Raw genomic sequence first — 16,776 nt, forward strand, 5'->3', positions numbered from 1 at the left:
GCTCCCAAGCCTGGTGTTGGTGGGAGGGACAGAGAGGGGCGGGAACAGCCAGCAGCCTGCCGGGAGCCAAAACGAAAGCACTCCGTGCTGGAAGTAGGAGGAGAGTCAGGACTCCCAGGACAGAGAGTGCACAAACTACCCAGCACAGCCCCCTCCGCCCCCTCTGGAGGCTGAAGAGGGATTCCAGCCCCTGCCACCCACAGACACGGGCTGACTGGGGTGTCTGCCCCCCTTGGGGGGGGGCAGCACAGGGCCTCAGGCCTGGGTGCCACCTGGCACCTAGAAGATGCCTGTGCCCTGGTTCTTGCTGTCCTTGGCACTGGGCCGAAGCCCAGTGGTCCTTTCTCTGGAGAGGCTTGTGGGGCCTCAGGACGCTACCCACTGCTCTCCGGTGAGTCTGGAACCCTGGGGAGACGAGGAAAGGCTCAGGGTTCAGTTTTTGGCTCAGCAAAGCCTTAGCCTGGCTCCTGTCACTGCTGCCACTGCCAGAACTGCCCTGTCTGGTCTGTCTGGTGCTGATGGTAGAAGAGAAGAACGGGGAAGGGGCAAGAGCTGGGTCTGTCTTTCTCTGGGAGGGTCTGGGAATACGGAGCCCCAGAAAAAGGTAGGTGGAGGTCTTAGGCAGAGAACAGTGCCTAGATGGTGGGGGCACAAATTCTGACTCTCCTTTCTTTCCTTCCCAGGGCCTCTCCTGCCGCCTCTGGGGTAAGTATCCCTACTTTTAAAAAGAATTTCCCAGGTTGGCCGAAGGGAGCAGAGCTGTCCCAGGCCCATGCCCTCCATGCCCACCTCAGCCTAGGACAGCCAAGTTCTTTGGCTCTCTGGGTATGTCAGGTGCCACCAAATTCTGGGCTTGGAACAGCTTCAGCTCCCACCCGCTCCTCCACACACAGACAGTGACATACTCTGCCTGCCTGGGGACATCGTGCCTGCTCCGGGCCCCGTGCTGGCGCCTACGCACCTGCAGACAGAGCTGGTGCTGAGGTGCCAGAAGGAGACCGACTGTGACCTCTGTCTGCGTGTGGCTGTCCACTTGGCCGTGCATGGTGAGCAAGTCATCCTGTGACAGTGCATGTGTACACGTGAGTGTGTCTGGGGTGGGCATGAGGGCCAGGGGATCTCTCAAGCAGTGCTAGGCATCCTCAGTGTTCTCCTGGAGGACACCAGCAGAAGGACCCCCAGGCCAGTGTGGTCTCCCCAGCCCCTGCTTCCCAGCACTGGGCTTTCCAGAAGGAAGCCAACGCCAAAGCCAGCCAGCCCAGAGCAGGGGGCCTCACCCAGGGCCTTGCTCTTGGGTCCTTCTAGGGCACTGGGAAGAGCCTGAAGATGAGGAAAAGTTTGGAGGAGCAGCTGACTCAGGGGTGGAGGAGCCTAGGAATGGTGAGGAGAACCTGGCTGGCCCAACTGCCCCATGCCAAGGCCTGGCCTGCCGCTCCTGGGCCTGACTGACCCCTGCCCTGTTGCCCACAGCCTCTCTCCAGGCCCAAGTCGTGCTCTCCTTCCAGGCCTACCCTACTGCCCGCTGCGTCCTGCTGGAGGTGCAAGTGCCTGCTGCCCTTGTGCAGTTTGGTCAGTCTGTGGTATGCAAAATAATAATAATCACCTTCTAAACCTAAAATCTATAAAACTTTTTCACATGCATTATCTCTTTGAGGATTACAAAAGAATTAAATTTATTGAAACCCTTCAGTACCAGGCATTACAGCCAGTGTTTTACAGGTATCAACTTATTTAATTCTCACAACAGCCATGTGAGGTGGGACTATTCTTTTGATTCTGATCAGCGCTGTGGGCAAGTCCCTTCAGCCTGTTATGCCTCAGCTTTTATGTCTGTAAAATGGGGATGAGAATAGTTCTACTTCATATGCTTGACTGCGAGAAATCACCAAGCGTTTTTCAGGGTGCTTCTACTATTTTCCCCTCCTACCAGCAGTGTATGGGAGTCCTAGTTGCTTCCCATCTTTGCCAACACTTGATGGTGTAATTTTATTTTATTTTTAAATTAAATATATTTGAATTTTAAATATATGGGACCCTCCATGAATTTGCATGTCATCCTCAGGCACGGGCCTTGCTAATCTTTTCTGTATTGTTCCAGTTGTAGTATATGTGGTGCCAAAACAAGCATAAGTGTTGTAATTGTCATAATTTTTCTGCATATGTAGTGGTTTGCCATTGTGGTTTTAATTTGTATCTTCCAATGACTGATGAAGTTGAGCACTTTTTTCACATGCTTATTGGCTATTTGTGTAACTTCCTTGTGAAATATCTCTTAAAGTTTTTTTGTTTTTGTTTTTGTTTTTGTTTTTGCCACATAAAAAAACAATAGTTCTGGCCGGGCACAGTGGTTCACACCTGTAATCCCAGCACTTTGGGAGGCTGAGGCGGGCAGATCACGAAGTCAGGAGATTGAGACCATCCTGGCTAACACTGTGAAACCCTGCCTCCACTAAAAAAATACAAAAAATTAGCCAGGCATGGTGGTGGGCGCCTGTAGACCCAGCTACTCGGGAGGCAGAGGCAGGAGAATGGCGTGAACCCGGGAGGTGGAGCTTGCAGTGAGCCGAGATCGCGCCACTGCACTCCAGCCTGGGCGACAGAGCGAGATTCCGTCTCAAAAAAAAAGAATAGTCCCACCTCACATGACTGTTGTGAGAATTAAATTAAGTTGGTACCTGTAAAACACTGGATGTAATGCCTGGCACTGAATAATTTCAATAAATTTAATTCTTTTGTAATCCTCAAAACTACCTGATGAGGCATTATTAGTATCCTCATTTTCCAGATAGATAAAATGAGGCTTGGAGAGGGGAGGTCTGTGGGCTGGATGCACTTCTCTGTACTCTTGGACCAAAGAAAGAGTCCTACCATACATACCATGGTATACTTACCATGGTGTAAGTACCATGGTGCAGGGTGTTGGGGCTTCTCCCTGCCTTAGGAGGCCACATGTACCTGGAAGGTCTATTTCCACTGGGGTCAAATCACTCAAACCCTTTGACTTTCCCTCCAACCTCCAGCCCCCAGCCAATATCCTATCTGGAGAATTGTAGACTGGGAGAACATCTGCTTGGTCCATGTCACAAGCAGTTGTAAGGAACACTGAGGCACTGGGTTGAGTGTGAGAACCACTTCTGTGGGGAGGGGTGTGCCATATTGTGTTGGGGTGTCTCATCTCCTTAGCTTTGGCCAGGTGATCTAGCACAGCAGGGTGGGTGCAGGGATTTAAATGTCTAGGGCCTTTTCCCGCCCTGGTGACACTCTTACTGAGGACATTTGCTTTAGAATTGAGGCCCCTTGAAAGAAAGGTGAATAGTAGATTTCAGGCTATACAGTATAAATACAGTCATTAGTTGGGGGAGGAGGGCAGTGAGCAGAGTGGTCCCTGCAGATGATCCCACAGCCCTTGGCCTGGATTCTGAGCCCTGCACCGCCAGCCTTCCTCACCCCTCTCCTCACAGGGCTCTGTGGTATATGACTGCTTCGAGGCTGCCCTAGGGAGTGAGGTACGAATCTGGTCCTATACTCAGCCCAGGTACGAGAAGGAACTCAACCACACACAGCAGCTGCCTGGTAAGTGGACCCCCAAGTCCTGGCCCCCTAGCCTCTGTCCCCTCTGGCCATTCCCCCTCCTGATTTCACCCTCTTCTAGCTCCATCCACTCTCCGGCAGGGGTCTGAGCTGCTATCCTCCCCAGAGTCAGTCCCTCGGACCTTCTCTCTCTGGGTGATATGGCTTTCCAGCCCCTGGGGAAGGTTCTTTGAGCATTGGATAGATGTGGGTGGTATGTAGGGGATGGGGAGCCATTCCTAATGCCCCCCTGGGAGCCAAATTGCCCCCACTTCTTTCCTTGGCCCCCAGCCCCACTGGAGGCTCTTCTGTGATCTCTCCTCAGACTGCAGGGGGCTCGAAGTCTGGAACAGCATCCCGAGCTGCTGGGGTAGGGGCTAGGGCCAGTGGGCCGGGGGTAGGGAGGGGCAGGGTCTGGAGTATAAGAAACCCTTGGAGTCCACTTCAGATATGGGCTACCACATCTCAGAAGCTCACAGAACATATTCATTCATTCATTCATTCATTCATTTGTTCATAACACATTAATTGCAGTATCTGTGCTAAGCACTGGAAATAGAAAGATGAATCTTGGGTCAGGCTCAGTGGCTCATGCCTGTAATCCCAGAACTTTGGGAGGCCGAGGTAGAAGGATCACTTGAGCTCAAAAGTTCAAGACGAGCCTGGGCAACATGGCAAATCCCCGTCTCTACCAAAAATACAAAAATTAACAGGACATGGTGGTGTGCATTTGTGGTCCCAGCTACTCAGGAGGCTGAGGCAGGAGAATCACTTGAGCCTGGGAGGCAGGGGCTACAGTAAGCTGAGACTGCACCATTGCACACCAGCCTGGGTGACAGAGCAAGACTCCGTCTCAAAAAACAAAACAAAACAAAACAAAAACAAAAAACTTGAAATAAAAGCTAAGAAAGTCAAGGGTCTAACTTTTTTCCCACGTACTATTTGGATTTTGTTTTCGTTTTGTATTTTCTTTTTTATTGTGTATAACATACATACATAAAAGTATGTAAAGGGTACTGATTTTCTTTTTTTTTTTTTTTTTTGAGACAGAGTCTCGCTCTGTCGCTCAGGCTGGAGTGCAGTGGTGCAATCTCGGCTCACTGCAAGCTCCGCCTCCCAGGTTCACGCCATTCTCCTGCCTCAGCCTCCCGAGTAGCTGGGACTACAGGCACCCGCCACCACGCCTGGCTAATTTTTTTTTTTTTTTAGTAGAGACAGGGTTTCACCGTGTTAGCCAGGATGGTCTTGATCTCCTGACCTTGTGATCCGCCTGCCTCAGCCTCCCAAAGTGCTGGGATTACAGGCGTGAGCCACCACGCCCAGCCAAAGGGTACTGATTTCCATGTCCAGTTCTTTTTTTTTTTTTTTTTTTTGGCGGAATCTTGCTCTGTCGCCTAGGCTGGACTGCAGTGGTGTGATCTCAGCTCACTGCAACCTCTGCCTTCTGGGTTCAAGCGATTCTCCTGCCTCAGCCTCCCAAGCAGCTGGGATTACAGACGTGCACCACCACGCACAGCTAATTTTTGTATTTTTAGTAGACATGGAGTTTCACCATGCTGGCCAGGCTGGTCTTGAACTCCTGACCTCGTGATCCTCCCACCTCGGCCTCCCAAAGTGCTGGGATTACAGGCATGAGCCGCCACGTCCGGCCAATTTGTTTTTATATATGTATACACTTGCATAACTAGCACCCAGATCAATACATAAATACTGTGAATACATCACATACTGTGATGTTTTCTGAACTACTAAATGTTTTCAACTTCATTTTCTTTTTGCCTTCTTAAAATTAAAGTTGGCCTGCCTCTTTGGCAACTCATTAAAGACTATTCAACACCAGAGTTTTGAAAACACAGATGTGTATATCATGGATTTCATTTCTTCCTTCATTAAGTAGACATTGATTCATTTATTCAACAGATATTTATTAATTTCTGTGTACCAGGCAAATCCCTGGACACTGGAAATATTAATAAATCAATAAATGAAGATGACAAAAAACCCGACCCCACGGAGCTGGTGTCAGGGTCAGGGTGGGGGTGAGGAAGGACACAACAAACACATGGAGATGTGAAGAATGCAGTAAGTTAGACAGTGATTAGCACTAAGGAGAACATTTGTGGAAGGGCTGGGGAAGGTTGGGAGTTGTAGAGGTCAGGGATGGTCTCATTCTGGTGAGCAGAGACCTGAAAGAGGTGAGGGAGGAGCCATATATTTGAGGGAAGAGAGAATAGCCAGCAAAAAGGGCCTGGGGTGGGAGTATGTCAGGGGTGTTTAAGAAATAGTAAGGAGGGGGCCGGGCGCGGTGGCTCACGCCTGTAATCCCAGCACTTTGGGAGGCCGAGGCTGGCGGATCACGAGGTCAGGAGATCGAGACCATCCTGGCTAACACGGTGAAACCCCATCTCTACAAAAAATACAAAAAAATCAGCTGGGCATGGTGGCAGGCGCCTGTAGTCCCAGCTACTCGGGAGCCTGAGGCAGGAGAATGGCTTGAACCCCAGGAGGCAGAGCTTGCAGTGAGCCGAGATCACACCACTGCACTCCAGCCTGGGCGACAGAGCCAGACTCCATCTCAAAAAAAAAAAAAGGAAAAAAAAAAGAGAGAGAAACAGTAAGGAGGTCCTTAATAACTCTGCAGCAGAGTTATTAAGGACACAAATGCCATAGGCTGTGCGCGATGGCTCACGTCTGCAATCCCAGCACTTTGGGGAAGCTGAGGCAGGAGGATTGCTTGAGGTTAGGAGCTCAAGACCAGCCTGGCCAACATGAGCGAAATCCCATCTCTACTAAAAATACAAAAACTAGCCGGGGGTGGTGACACACGCCTGTAATCCCAGCTACTCGGGTGGCTGAGGCAAGAGAATCGCTTGAACCCAGGAGGTGGAGGTTGCAGTGAGCTATCGTGCCAATGCACTCCAGCCTGGGCAACAGAGCAAGACTCCCTCTCAAAAAAAAAAAAGGACACAAGTATCAAGAGGTAAGGTCAGAAAGGTCACAGTTCTGAACAGAGGAAAATGACTTGTTTTAAAGAGGTTACAAGATCTTTCTGCAGAGGGAGAAGCAGGGAGAATAGCTCTTCTCCGACCACACACTAGGGTCTCCACGGGCTTGGCTTTGGGCAGCTGCTAGGAGCAAAGTCTGGTCTGAAATGATGACACACGCTCTGCCCTCCGAGAGCCTCCCAGTCTAGGGGGTTTGAAGGAAACTCCAAAGGGTCAGTCGGGGATGCAGAAGAGGTGAGGAAGTCTAAGCTGCGCTCTCTTTGCCTCTCCCACCAGCCCTGCCCTGGCTCAACGTGTCAGCAGATGGTGACAACGTGCATCTGGTTCTGAATGTCTCTGAGGAGCAGCACTTCGGCCTCTCCCTGTACTGGAATCAGGTCCAGGGCCCCCCAAAACCCCGGTGGCACAAAAACCTGGTGAGGCCTCCCCCTTCCCAAGTCCATTCCCACTGTAGGCCGATGCCTGTGCAAAGGACGCAGTGCCATATCAGAGAGGATCCTTGAAGAGGACTCACCCCAAGCAAGGGAAAATTGGTGGGGGAACTTCTGCCTTCCTGGTTTCCTTGACTTTGGCCTCCTCCTCTTCCTCCTTATCTTCTCCAACCTCCTTCCTTTATTTGTTCCACAGACTGGACCGCAGATCATTACCTTGAACCACACAGACCTGGTTCCCTGCCTCTGTATTCAGGTAGGAGCAGAGTCTAGCTGGGTGCCAGAAGAGGAGTGGGAAGATGATGATGGGGGTGATCCCTGCCTTCCTGGTCTCACCATTCTTCAAACCCTTCATTGAGGTGGAGACTGTGGCTCCCTGGGGTGGCTGGCCCTCCCTTGACCCTTGCTGTCCTATGCCTTCTGTCTATTACATTCCCTGAATGCTCTCCCTGATCCTCCACAGAACTCCTGCTTATTCTTCATGGCCCCATTCAAATGTCACCTTCTCCTTGAAACCTTTCCCTACTCCTCCAGTTCTGTCTTTGTGTTCCCCTGGCGGGCAGAGCATGTGCTACGAACTTGGACTGGTTTGAATCTTGGCTCTTGCCATTTGCTAGCTGTGTAACCTTGGGCAAGTCACTTCACCTCTGTGAGCCTGTTTCTCATCTGTAAAATGGGAATAATAATAGTAACAGCCTCATGGGGCTGTTATAAGAATGTGTGCCACACCCAGGCTTAAATATGCTGGCTCTTTCCTCTTCCTCTGTACATTTATTTATTTTTTTAGACAAGGTCTCACTCTGTTGCCCAGGCTGGAGTGCAGTGGCACAATCATGGCACACTGCAGCCTCAGCCCCATGGGCTCAAGTGATCCTCCTGTCTCAGCCTCCCAAGTAGCTGGAACTACTGGTGAGCACTACCATACTCAGCTAGTTTTTTTTTGTTTTGTGTAGAGACGGGGTCTTGCTATGTTACCCAGGCTGTTCTGAATTCCTGGGCTTATGCTATCCTCCCACCTCAGCCTCCCACCAAGTGCTGGGATTATAAGCATGAGCCACTGTGGCTTGCCCTGATTGCACTTTTTTTTTTTTTTTTTTTAAGACAGAGTCTTTCTCTGTCGCCCAGGCTGGAGCACCGTGGCGTGATCTCGGCTCACTGCAAGCTGCTTCTCCTGGGTTCACGCCATTCTCCTGCCTCAGCCTCGCTGAGTAGCTGGGACTACAGGTGCCTGCAACCACGCCCAGCTAATTTTTTGTATTTTCAGTAAAGACAGGGTTTCACCGTGTTAGCCAGGATGGTCTCGATCTCCTGACCTTATGATCCACAAGCCTCGTCCTCCCAAAGTGCTGGGATTACAGGCATGACCCACTGTGCCCAGCCGCTGATTGCACATTTAATTGGTCATCAGGTCTCATCCATCTTACCTCTGACATTAATGTCTCTCATTTTCTTTCCCCCTCCTCTCCATCTCAGTCCAGCTTAGGGCTCTATCATCTGTTTTCTAGACTGTTTCAACACCTCCAAGCTCCCCTCCCTTCCCATCACTTTCCTGGCATTCTGGGCCCATATTCTGCCCCCAACGGTGCCTTTTCACTCTATTTTCCCCATGATTCCCCTTCATGAGAACATTGTTACATCCAGTGGAGCTACTTACCAAGATACAGCTAGCTCCCTGCCTTTTCTCAGGTGGTTCCCATTACCTCAAATGCCCTCACCTCCTTCCCAAAGCTTTTCCCCAACCACCCGGCCTCTCCTAGCTCCAAATCCCCTTGCACTTCTATCTTTCCTTGTCCATTTATCACTTCATTTCTTTTATTTTCTTAAATTTTTTTTTTTTTTTTAGAGACAGCATTTTGCTCTGTCACCCATGGTAGAGTGCAGTGGCATGAACACGTCTCATTGCAGCCCCAAGCTCCCAGGTTCAAGGGATCCTCCTGCCTCAGCCTCTGCAGCTGGGACTGCAGGCATGCGCCACCATGCCTGGCTAATTGTTTCCTTTTTTTTTTTTTTTTTTTTTTAATGGAGTTTCACTCTTTTGCCCAGGATGGAGTGCAGTGGCGTGATCTCGGCTCACTGCAACTTCCGCCTCCCAGGTTCAAGCCATTCTCCTGCCTCAGCCTCCCAAGTAGCTGAGATTACAGGCACACACCACCATGCCCAGCTAATTTTTGTATTTTTAGTAGAGACAGGGTTTCACCATGTTGGTCAGGCTGGTCCCAAATTCCTGACCTCGTGATCCACCCGCCTCGGCCGCCCAAAGTGCTGGGATTACAGGCGTGAGCCACTGTGCCCAGCCTGTTTTCATTTTTTAATGTTTTGTGGCGATGGGCCACCACACCCAGCTCAATCACTTACTTTCTTATTTGGGCATCTAATTTCTTCTTGTACACAACAGATGCTCAATAAATATTATGAAATGAATGAGTGTTTTACTAATTTATATAAATATTTTATCCTTACTACAAGTGTGAGTTTGTGATTTCCTTGAAGGCAAGCAAATCATATCTAATTCAAATGTAATAGCTTTGCAAGAGCCTTGCACATAGCGCCTACTTGTTTTTTGTTTTTTTGTGTTTTTGTTTTTTTTTTGTTTTTTTGTCTTTTTTGAGACAGAGTCTCGCTCTATTGGCAGGCTGGAGTACAGTGGCGTGATCTCGGCTCACTGCAATCTCTGCCTCCTGGATTCAAGCAATTCTTCTGCCTCAGCCTCCCAAGTAGCTGGGACTACAAGTGCATGCCACCATGCCCGGCTAATTTTTGTATTTTCAGTAGAGACGGGGTTTCAGCATGTTGGCCAGATGGTCTCGATCTCTTGACCTCGTGATCCGCCCACCTTGGCCTCCCAAAGTGCTGGGATTACAGGGGTGAGCCACCGCGCCCAGCCTTGTTTTGTTTTTAAACAAGGTAACAGTATGAGGTCCTCACTGTTGAATGAGTGAATAAATGTTACTGCCTAACACAGCCATAGGACACAGCAGATGTTCATGAGATGTATGCTGTGATTTAAATGGCTTCATTGCCAAACACAGTGCCTGCCACATAGTCGGTGTTCCTAACTAAAGGCTTGATGGATAAATTAATGTATTACCTCTAGTGCTTAGCATAGAGCTATGCACATAATAGGCACTCTTGAAATGTCTGTTGAAAGAATAAATGAATGTGTCCTTAGAACTTAGCACATTCCCCAACACATAGCAGGTGCTTACACAAGTGATTGTGGAATGAATTAAAATTAATTATCCACCAGGCACAGTGGCTCACACCTGTAATCCCAGCACTTTGGGAGGCCAAGGTGGGTGGATCACGAGGTCAGGAGTTTGAGACCAGCCTGGCCTAACATAGTGAAACCCAGTCTCTACTAAAAGTACAAAAATTAGCCAGGCATGGTGATGTGCGCCTGTAGTCCCTGCTACTTGGGAAGCTGAGGCAGGAGAATCACTTGAACCCAGGAGGCGGAGGTTGTGGTGAGCTGAGATCACACCACTGCACTCCAGCCTGGGCAACAGAGTGAGATTCCATCTCAAAAAATAAAAAAATAATAAAAATTTAATTATCCAAGGTCTCTTGTGCTTGCCATACTGCTAAGACACAATGGTAGGCACTCATTAAAAGTCTGTTGAATGGGCCAGGCGCGGTGGCTCACGCTTGTAATCCCAACACTTTGGGAGGCTGAGACGGGTGGATCACTTGAGGTCAGGAGTTCGAGACCAGCCTGATCAATGTGGTGAAACCCCATCTCTACTAAAAATACAAAAATTAACCAGTTAGCCGGCCGTTGTGGCATGTTCCTGTAATCGCAGCTCCTCAGGAGACTGAGATGGGAGAATCGCTTGAACCTGGGAGGTGGAGGTTGTAGTGAGCCAAGATTGCACCACTGCACTCCAGCCTGGGCGACAGAGCGAGACTCTATCTCAAAAAAAAAAAAAAGTTTGTTAATGAAGATGTTGCCAGTGCCCAGCATTATGTTTGCTGGAAGAATAGATGTGAGCACCTCCAGGTTTTGTAAAAGGCAGGAAGACCCAGCAAGTGTTTGTGAAATACCTGCTGAATGAGTGCATCCCCACTGTCCAGCAGAGGGCCAGGCACATGCCCATGGAGGGGACCTGAGCAGACCCCCATTTCCTTTCCAGGTGTGGCCTCTGGAACCTGACTCCGTTAGGACGAACATCTGCCCCTTCAGGGAGGGTGAGCCGACCGGCCTGGGGCTGGGGTTGGGGTGTTGCGAGCGATGGGTACCTGGCCTGCGGTGACTGTGCCCTTTCCTTGCAGACCCCCGCGCACACCAGAACCTCTGGCAAGCCGCCCGACTGCAACTGCTGACCCTGCAGAGCTGGCTGCTGGACGCACCGTGCTCGCTGCCCGCAGAAGCGGCACTGTGCTGGCGGGCTCCGGGTGGGGACCCCTGCCAGCCACTGGTCCCACCGCTTTCCTGGGAGAACGTCACTGTGGACGTAAGTGAAGCAGAGGGCACCTCCCGTGGTGAGGGGAGAGTGGGGAACCGGGGGTCCCCTTTTGTGATCCCACCCATTCCTCTCTTTCCACAGAAGGTTCTCGAGTTCCCATTGCTGAAAGGCCACCCTAACCTCTGTGTTCAGGTCAGAAAGGGGTGCATAGTGCTGGGCTGGAGGCTGGACCTGGGCAGACCCCCCAGCCAAGGGGGTCTTAGTTCTTGGGCCGCTAAAGCATAGTGGTTGCCAGCTTCCTCTATGGGAGTTCCACTGCCTACTTTAGTAGTGCGCGGGACCCTGGGCAACTCACTTCACCTCTCTGAACGTCAGTTTCCTCATCTGTTTAATGCAGATGATAATACAGTAACTACCTCATGGAGTGGTTGTGACAATGAAATAAGAGAAGTGCTTCCCCTTAGGAATCGGTACAGACTAAATGCTCCATAAATGTAGCCACTTTTATTATTGCTATCCTTATTCTATTTCCATACCTGTAGAATGGGTTGCTCTACAGTTTCAAAGGGTGATTATAAGAACATTCACTCATCCGGCCAGGCGCGGTGGCTCACGCCTGTAATCCCAGCACTTTGGGAGGCCGAGGCGGGCAGATCACGAGGTCAGGACATCAAGACCATCCTGGCTAACATGGTGAAACCCCATCTCTACTAAAAATACAAAAAATTAGCCGGTCGTGGTGGTGGGCACCTGTAGTCCCAGCTACTAGGAAGGCTGGGGCAGGAGAATGGCGTGAACCTGGGAGGCTGAGCTTGCAGTGAGCTGAGAGGGCGCCACTGCACTCCAGCCTGGGTGACAGAGTGAGACTGGGCGACAGAGTGAAACTCCGTCTCAAAAAAAAAAAAAATTCACTCATTCAAGATTTTTTGAGCAGCACAAGTCACTGTTTTAGGCACTTGTGATAGACCCTAACATCTCTACCCTCATAGAACTTATATTGTAATGGAGAAAGGCAGGCAACAGACATTGTAAATAAATCATATAGTATCTTAAAATTGCATACAAATACCATGGGAAAGGGATAAGGTGGGACTGGGGTTGCAATTTTTAGCAGGGTGGTCATGTGAGAAAGGAATCTCTTTGAGAAGGTTAGATGAGAGGGGAACCATGCTCCGTAAGACATAAAAACAGCTTTAGGGTCAGAAGACGCTTTATACAGATGATCTCACAAGGCTGGGGCAGAGAAAGATGTAGTGATTCCTAATCACCCAGCCTTGAATCCACATCTGCCTCAGGTCAGATTGAGTGCAGATTCCCAACCCAACAGGCCTTCTGTTGCCTGCCCCATTCTGGTCTTTCTGCCTTTGGCTTTTGCTTTTCTTAGTGGCCCTAACCATGGTCTCTTCCCAGCAGGTGAACAGCTCGGAGAAGCTGCAGCTGCAGGAGTGCTTGTGGGCTGGTGAGTTGGGCCTGGGGGCAGCTGGGGCAGGGCCACCTCCTAGGGGTGAAGGTCAGGGCATGGGAGGCAGGCAAGTGGCCAATCCCAGCAAGGATGGGTCTTGGTCAGAGTGGCCTCTCACCCCTTCCAGACTCCCTGGGGCCTCTCAAAGACGATGTGCTACTGTTGGAGACACGAGGCCCCCAGGACAACAGATCCCTCTGTGCCTTGGAACCCAGTGGCTGTACTTCACTACCCAGCAAAGCCTCCACGGTTAGGACTGGGCGACCCTCCTCCACAGATCTCTCCAAATGCATCTCACATCTGGCCTCAAATTTTCACTCCATCCACCCTGTGCCGGTCTCTGGGAACATGGGGGGTGACTCAGACCAGGGCCATATTCAGCGGCATCACCAAAGTCTCCCAGTCCCCTCTACCTCATTCTACCCAGCTGTAGCCTGGTAGGTGCTGCCCTAAGGGTGCTACCTCCAGGTAACAGTGCCCCCATCCTTTGGCTTGGCAGAGGGCAGCTCGCCTTGGAGAGTACTTACTACAAGACCTGCAGTCAGGCCAGTGTCTGCAGGTGAGCTGGTGGAAGAAGGGCCCCACCTCAATGCCTAGGGGCAACAGGCCTAAAACTAGCACTCACCTACTGTCTATTTAGGCTTATTTTATGTTCAGCCCTGGGAAAGTTAAGAGTAGAAGAAGCACAGTTCCTATCCCCAAGGAGCACACTGTTGGCTAGACACCCATAAACAGATAACCACACCTACAGGTGCTAAGTTTTGGGTTCCAGGGAGAGCTTCCGGGAAGAATTTCTTCCTATAAGCCAGATTTGGTATGGAAGAAGTCATACCCTAGTCAGTGGGCACAGCACAAAGGCAGAGCAGCTGCAGGAACCTTAGCCGGGAGATATGCATAGTTGATGCTGGGAATTTGGAGATCAGGCCACCAGAGCTTGGTGAATATTGGAACACCTGGCTGGTGCCCTGGATTTGGTTCTGTTTGTATCTTACAGCTATGGGACGATGACTTGGGAGCGCTATGGGCCTGCCCCATGGACAAATGTGAGTATTGTAAGAACTGCCTTTCCTTTCTGTACCAGGAGTGGGGATCTTGACAGGGACCACTCTTGGGCACAGCACATGCAATGGCCTTGTCCTTCCCTGAGATCAGATAAACAGAGGGTCATTCCTTCATTCACTCAAAAAATGATGAGAGCTTGCAGGGATCGCAGGAACACCAAAAATATAAATCCTTGCCCCCGCCCCACCCCTAGAAGACTAGCAAGACATGAGCCAGTCACTTACATTTAAAGTGGGAGCTACTGAAGCACCACCAAGTGTTCAGTGCTGTAAATGCATACAATGTGGACCTGACCTGGGTGGGGTGAGGGGTGAGGGGCTCAGGGGGAAGGTTCCAGCAAAACTCTGAAGACTGAGCTAGGGGAAGGGGGTAGAGATACAGGGTCTTGGACAGGCAGGTTTCTGTCATGAGATAAAGATGCAGGAGACATGTAGGGGATTTGGATCTTATGTTGAGAGCAGCAGGAGCTACGATCAAATTTTTATATATTTCACACACACACACACACATATATATATATATATATATATATATATATATACTTATTTTTTTATTTATTTTTGAGGCAGAGTCTCACTCTGTTGCCCAGGCTGGAGTGCAATGGCGCGATCTCGGCTAACTGCAACCTCTGCCTCCCGGGTTCAAGCAATTCTCTACCTCAGCCTCCCGGGTAGCTGGGATTAATAGGCGCCTGCCACCATGCCCTGCTAATTTTTGTATTTTTAGTAGAGATGGGGTTTCACCATCTTGGCCAGGCTGGTCTTGAACTCCTGACCTCGTGATCCGCCCGCGTCGGCCTCCCAAAGTGCTGGGATTATAGTCGTGAGTCACCGCACCTGGCCCAAATTTATATTTTTAAAAGATCTCTGAGGCTGTCATGAATCAATTCAAGGCAAATCAATTGGAGGTAAAAAAAAAAAAAAAAAGACAGGGCAGGGACACCAGGTAGTTGCAGACACCCAGGACAGCAAGATCAAGGGCCCAGCAACCCTAGCTTAGGGGAGAAAAACAGCTGACATTTTAGCACTTAAGATGCTCGGCATTGTGTTAAGTATGTATTAACACATTGTGTTAAGCTTTATATGTATTAATATATTTAGTCCTCACACCAACCCTATGACACAGGTACAACTTTACAGAGGAGAAAACTGAGGCAGAGGGTGACATTACTTATTCAAAGACCCCTAAACAGATGGAGCTATATTCATCCACTGGCTCTGACACTGTGCTGTGGACTCTGGGCAAATCATTTCTTCGTTTTTTGTTTTGTTTTGTTTTGTTTTGAGAGGAGTCTCACCCTGTCGCCCAGGCTGGAGTGCAATGGCGCGATCTCGGCTCACTGCAACCTCTGCCTCCCGAGTTCAAGCGATTCTCTTGCCTCAGCCTCCCGAGTAGCTGGGATTACAGGCGTGTGCCACCACGCCCGGCTAATTTTTTGTATTTTTAGTAGAGACGGGGTTTCACCGTGTTAGCCAGGATGGTCTTGATGTCCTGACCTCGTGATCTGCCCGCCTCGGCCTCCCGAAGTGCTGGGATTATATAAAGGCATGAGCCACCGCACCCGGCCCAATTCATTTCTGTTAAGTCTCAGTTTTTCTTCTCTGTGGAGGGTAAGTTTCTAACTCTTCTTCTCTGGGTCTCCCAGACATCCACAAGCGCTGGGCCCTCGTGTGGCTGGCCTGCCTACTCTTTGCCGCTGCGCTTTCCCTCATCCTCCTTCTCAAAAAGGATCACGCGAAAGGTGAGCGCTTCCCGGCTCCCCATTCCCCTGGGGGAGGACCAGAGTGGCTGTGGGAGTTCTCCGAGGGAAAGCGGCGGCCGAGCTCACTGGCTGCCTCCGCCCCTCTCCCCTAACAGGGTGGCTGAGGCTCTTGAAACAGGACGTCCGCTCGGGGGGTGAGTGGGAGCAAGCGCTGGGCGGAGGGCCGCCCCCGGGGAGCCAGGCCTGTGCCAGCTCACCTCTTCCCTCCCCATCTGTTTTCTCCGGCAGCGGCCGCCAGGGGCCGCGCGGCTCTGCTCCTCTACTCAGCCGATGACTCGGGTTTCGAGCGCCTGGTGGGCGCCCTGGCGTCGGCCCTGTGCCAGCTGCCGCTGCGCGTGGCCGTAGACCTGTGGAGCCGTCGTGAACTGAGCGCGCAGGGGCCCGTGGCTTGGTTTCACGCGCAGCGGCGCCAGACCCTGCAGGAGGGCGGCGTGGTGGTCTTGCTCTTCTCTCCCGGTGCGGTGGCGCTGTGCAGCGAGTGGCTACAGGATGGGGTGTCCGGGCCCGGGGCGCACGGCCCGCACGACGCCTTCCGCGCCTCGCTCAGCTGCGTGCTGCCCGACTTCTTGCAGGGCCGGGCGCCCGGCAGCTACGTGGGGGCCTGCTTCGACAGGCTGCTCCACCCGGACGCCGTACCCGCCCTTTTCCGCACCGTGCCCGTCTTCACACTGCCCTCCCAACTGCCAGACTTCCTGGGGGCCCTGCAGCAGCCTCGCGCCCCGCGTTCCGGGCGGCTCCAAGAGAGAGCGGAGCAAGTGTCCCGGGCCCTTCAGCCAGCCCTGGATAGCTACTTCCATCCCCCGGGGACTCCCGCGCCGGGACGCGGGGTGGGACCAGGCGCGGGACCTGGGGCGGGGGACGGGACTTAAATAAAGGCAGACGCTGTTTTTCTACCCATGTGGCCCACACGCGTCTCCGTTTCAGTGGCGGGGCTGGCAAACGTCATTCCCTAGCCCCGCGGCCCTTTAAAGCCCGGACAGGTGCAGCTCGGTGCCGCCTCTGGTTGGCTGGCGTGGGGTGACGTAATGGCACATGGCCCGTCGCCATTGGCTGGGCGGCAAGCTCCGCCCCCTGGACTGCG

General features: G+C 51.4%; 1 protein-coding gene and 1 pseudogene across 48 annotated transcripts, besides 3 other annotated features; one reads left to right on the plus strand and one right to left on the minus strand.

Annotated features, from left to right (window-relative positions):
* On the plus strand, window positions 69-16,592 carry IL17RC (interleukin 17 receptor C). Of its 48 annotated transcripts, none has more exons than XM_017007326.1 (19): window positions 69-604; window positions 684-705; window positions 894-1,046; window positions 1,306-1,380; window positions 1,471-1,580; window positions 3,462-3,573; window positions 3,896-3,940; window positions 6,852-6,991; window positions 7,203-7,262; window positions 11,137-11,191; window positions 11,276-11,457; window positions 11,551-11,601; window positions 12,820-12,868; window positions 12,999-13,120; window positions 13,371-13,430; window positions 13,866-13,914; window positions 15,579-15,674; window positions 15,791-15,829; window positions 15,924-16,592. In XM_017007326.1, exons 1-19 carry the CDS (start codon window positions 287-289, stop codon window positions 16,562-16,564), a joined length of 2,379 nt encoding a protein of 792 aa, XP_016862815.1. In that variant the 5' UTR covers window positions 69-286; the 3' UTR covers window positions 16,565-16,592. The 48 variants fall into 48 exon arrangements, 47 of the variants coding, with proteins under 47 accessions (XP_016862815.1, NP_703191.2, XP_016862817.1 ...); NM_153461.4 differs by having other exon boundaries at window positions 12,823-12,868; XM_017007328.1 differs by having other exon boundaries at window positions 6,852-6,952.
* On the minus strand, window positions 2,022-2,124 carry RNU6-882P (RNA, U6 small nuclear 882, pseudogene; annotated as a pseudogene).
* Window positions 11,334-11,833: an enhancer, noted in NCBI's record as "H3K4me1 hESC enhancer chr3:9970047-9970546 (GRCh37/hg19 assembly coordinates)". NCBI's record gives its function as "activates a minimal SCP1, AML or CMV promoter by ChIP-STARR-seq in primed H9 embryonic stem cells {active_cell/tissue: H9 hESC(primed)}" and the evidence as "EXISTENCE:reporter gene assay evidence [ECO:0000049][PMID:30033119]".
* Window positions 15,777-15,836: a silencer, noted in NCBI's record as "silent region_14050". NCBI's record gives its function as "represses an Ori minimal core promoter by ATAC-STARR-seq in GM12878 lymphoblastoid cells {active_cell/tissue: GM12878}" and the evidence as "EXISTENCE:reporter gene assay evidence [ECO:0000049][PMID:35858748]".
* Window positions 16,417-16,746: a silencer, noted in NCBI's record as "silent region_14051". NCBI's record gives its function as "represses an Ori minimal core promoter by ATAC-STARR-seq in GM12878 lymphoblastoid cells {active_cell/tissue: GM12878}" and the evidence as "EXISTENCE:reporter gene assay evidence [ECO:0000049][PMID:35858748]".

Source organism: Homo sapiens, chromosome 3 (assembly GCF_000001405.40).
Source record: "Homo sapiens chromosome 3, GRCh38.p14 Primary Assembly".
In the NCBI taxonomy this organism is placed as follows: domain Eukaryota; kingdom Metazoa; phylum Chordata; class Mammalia; order Primates; family Hominidae; genus Homo; species Homo sapiens.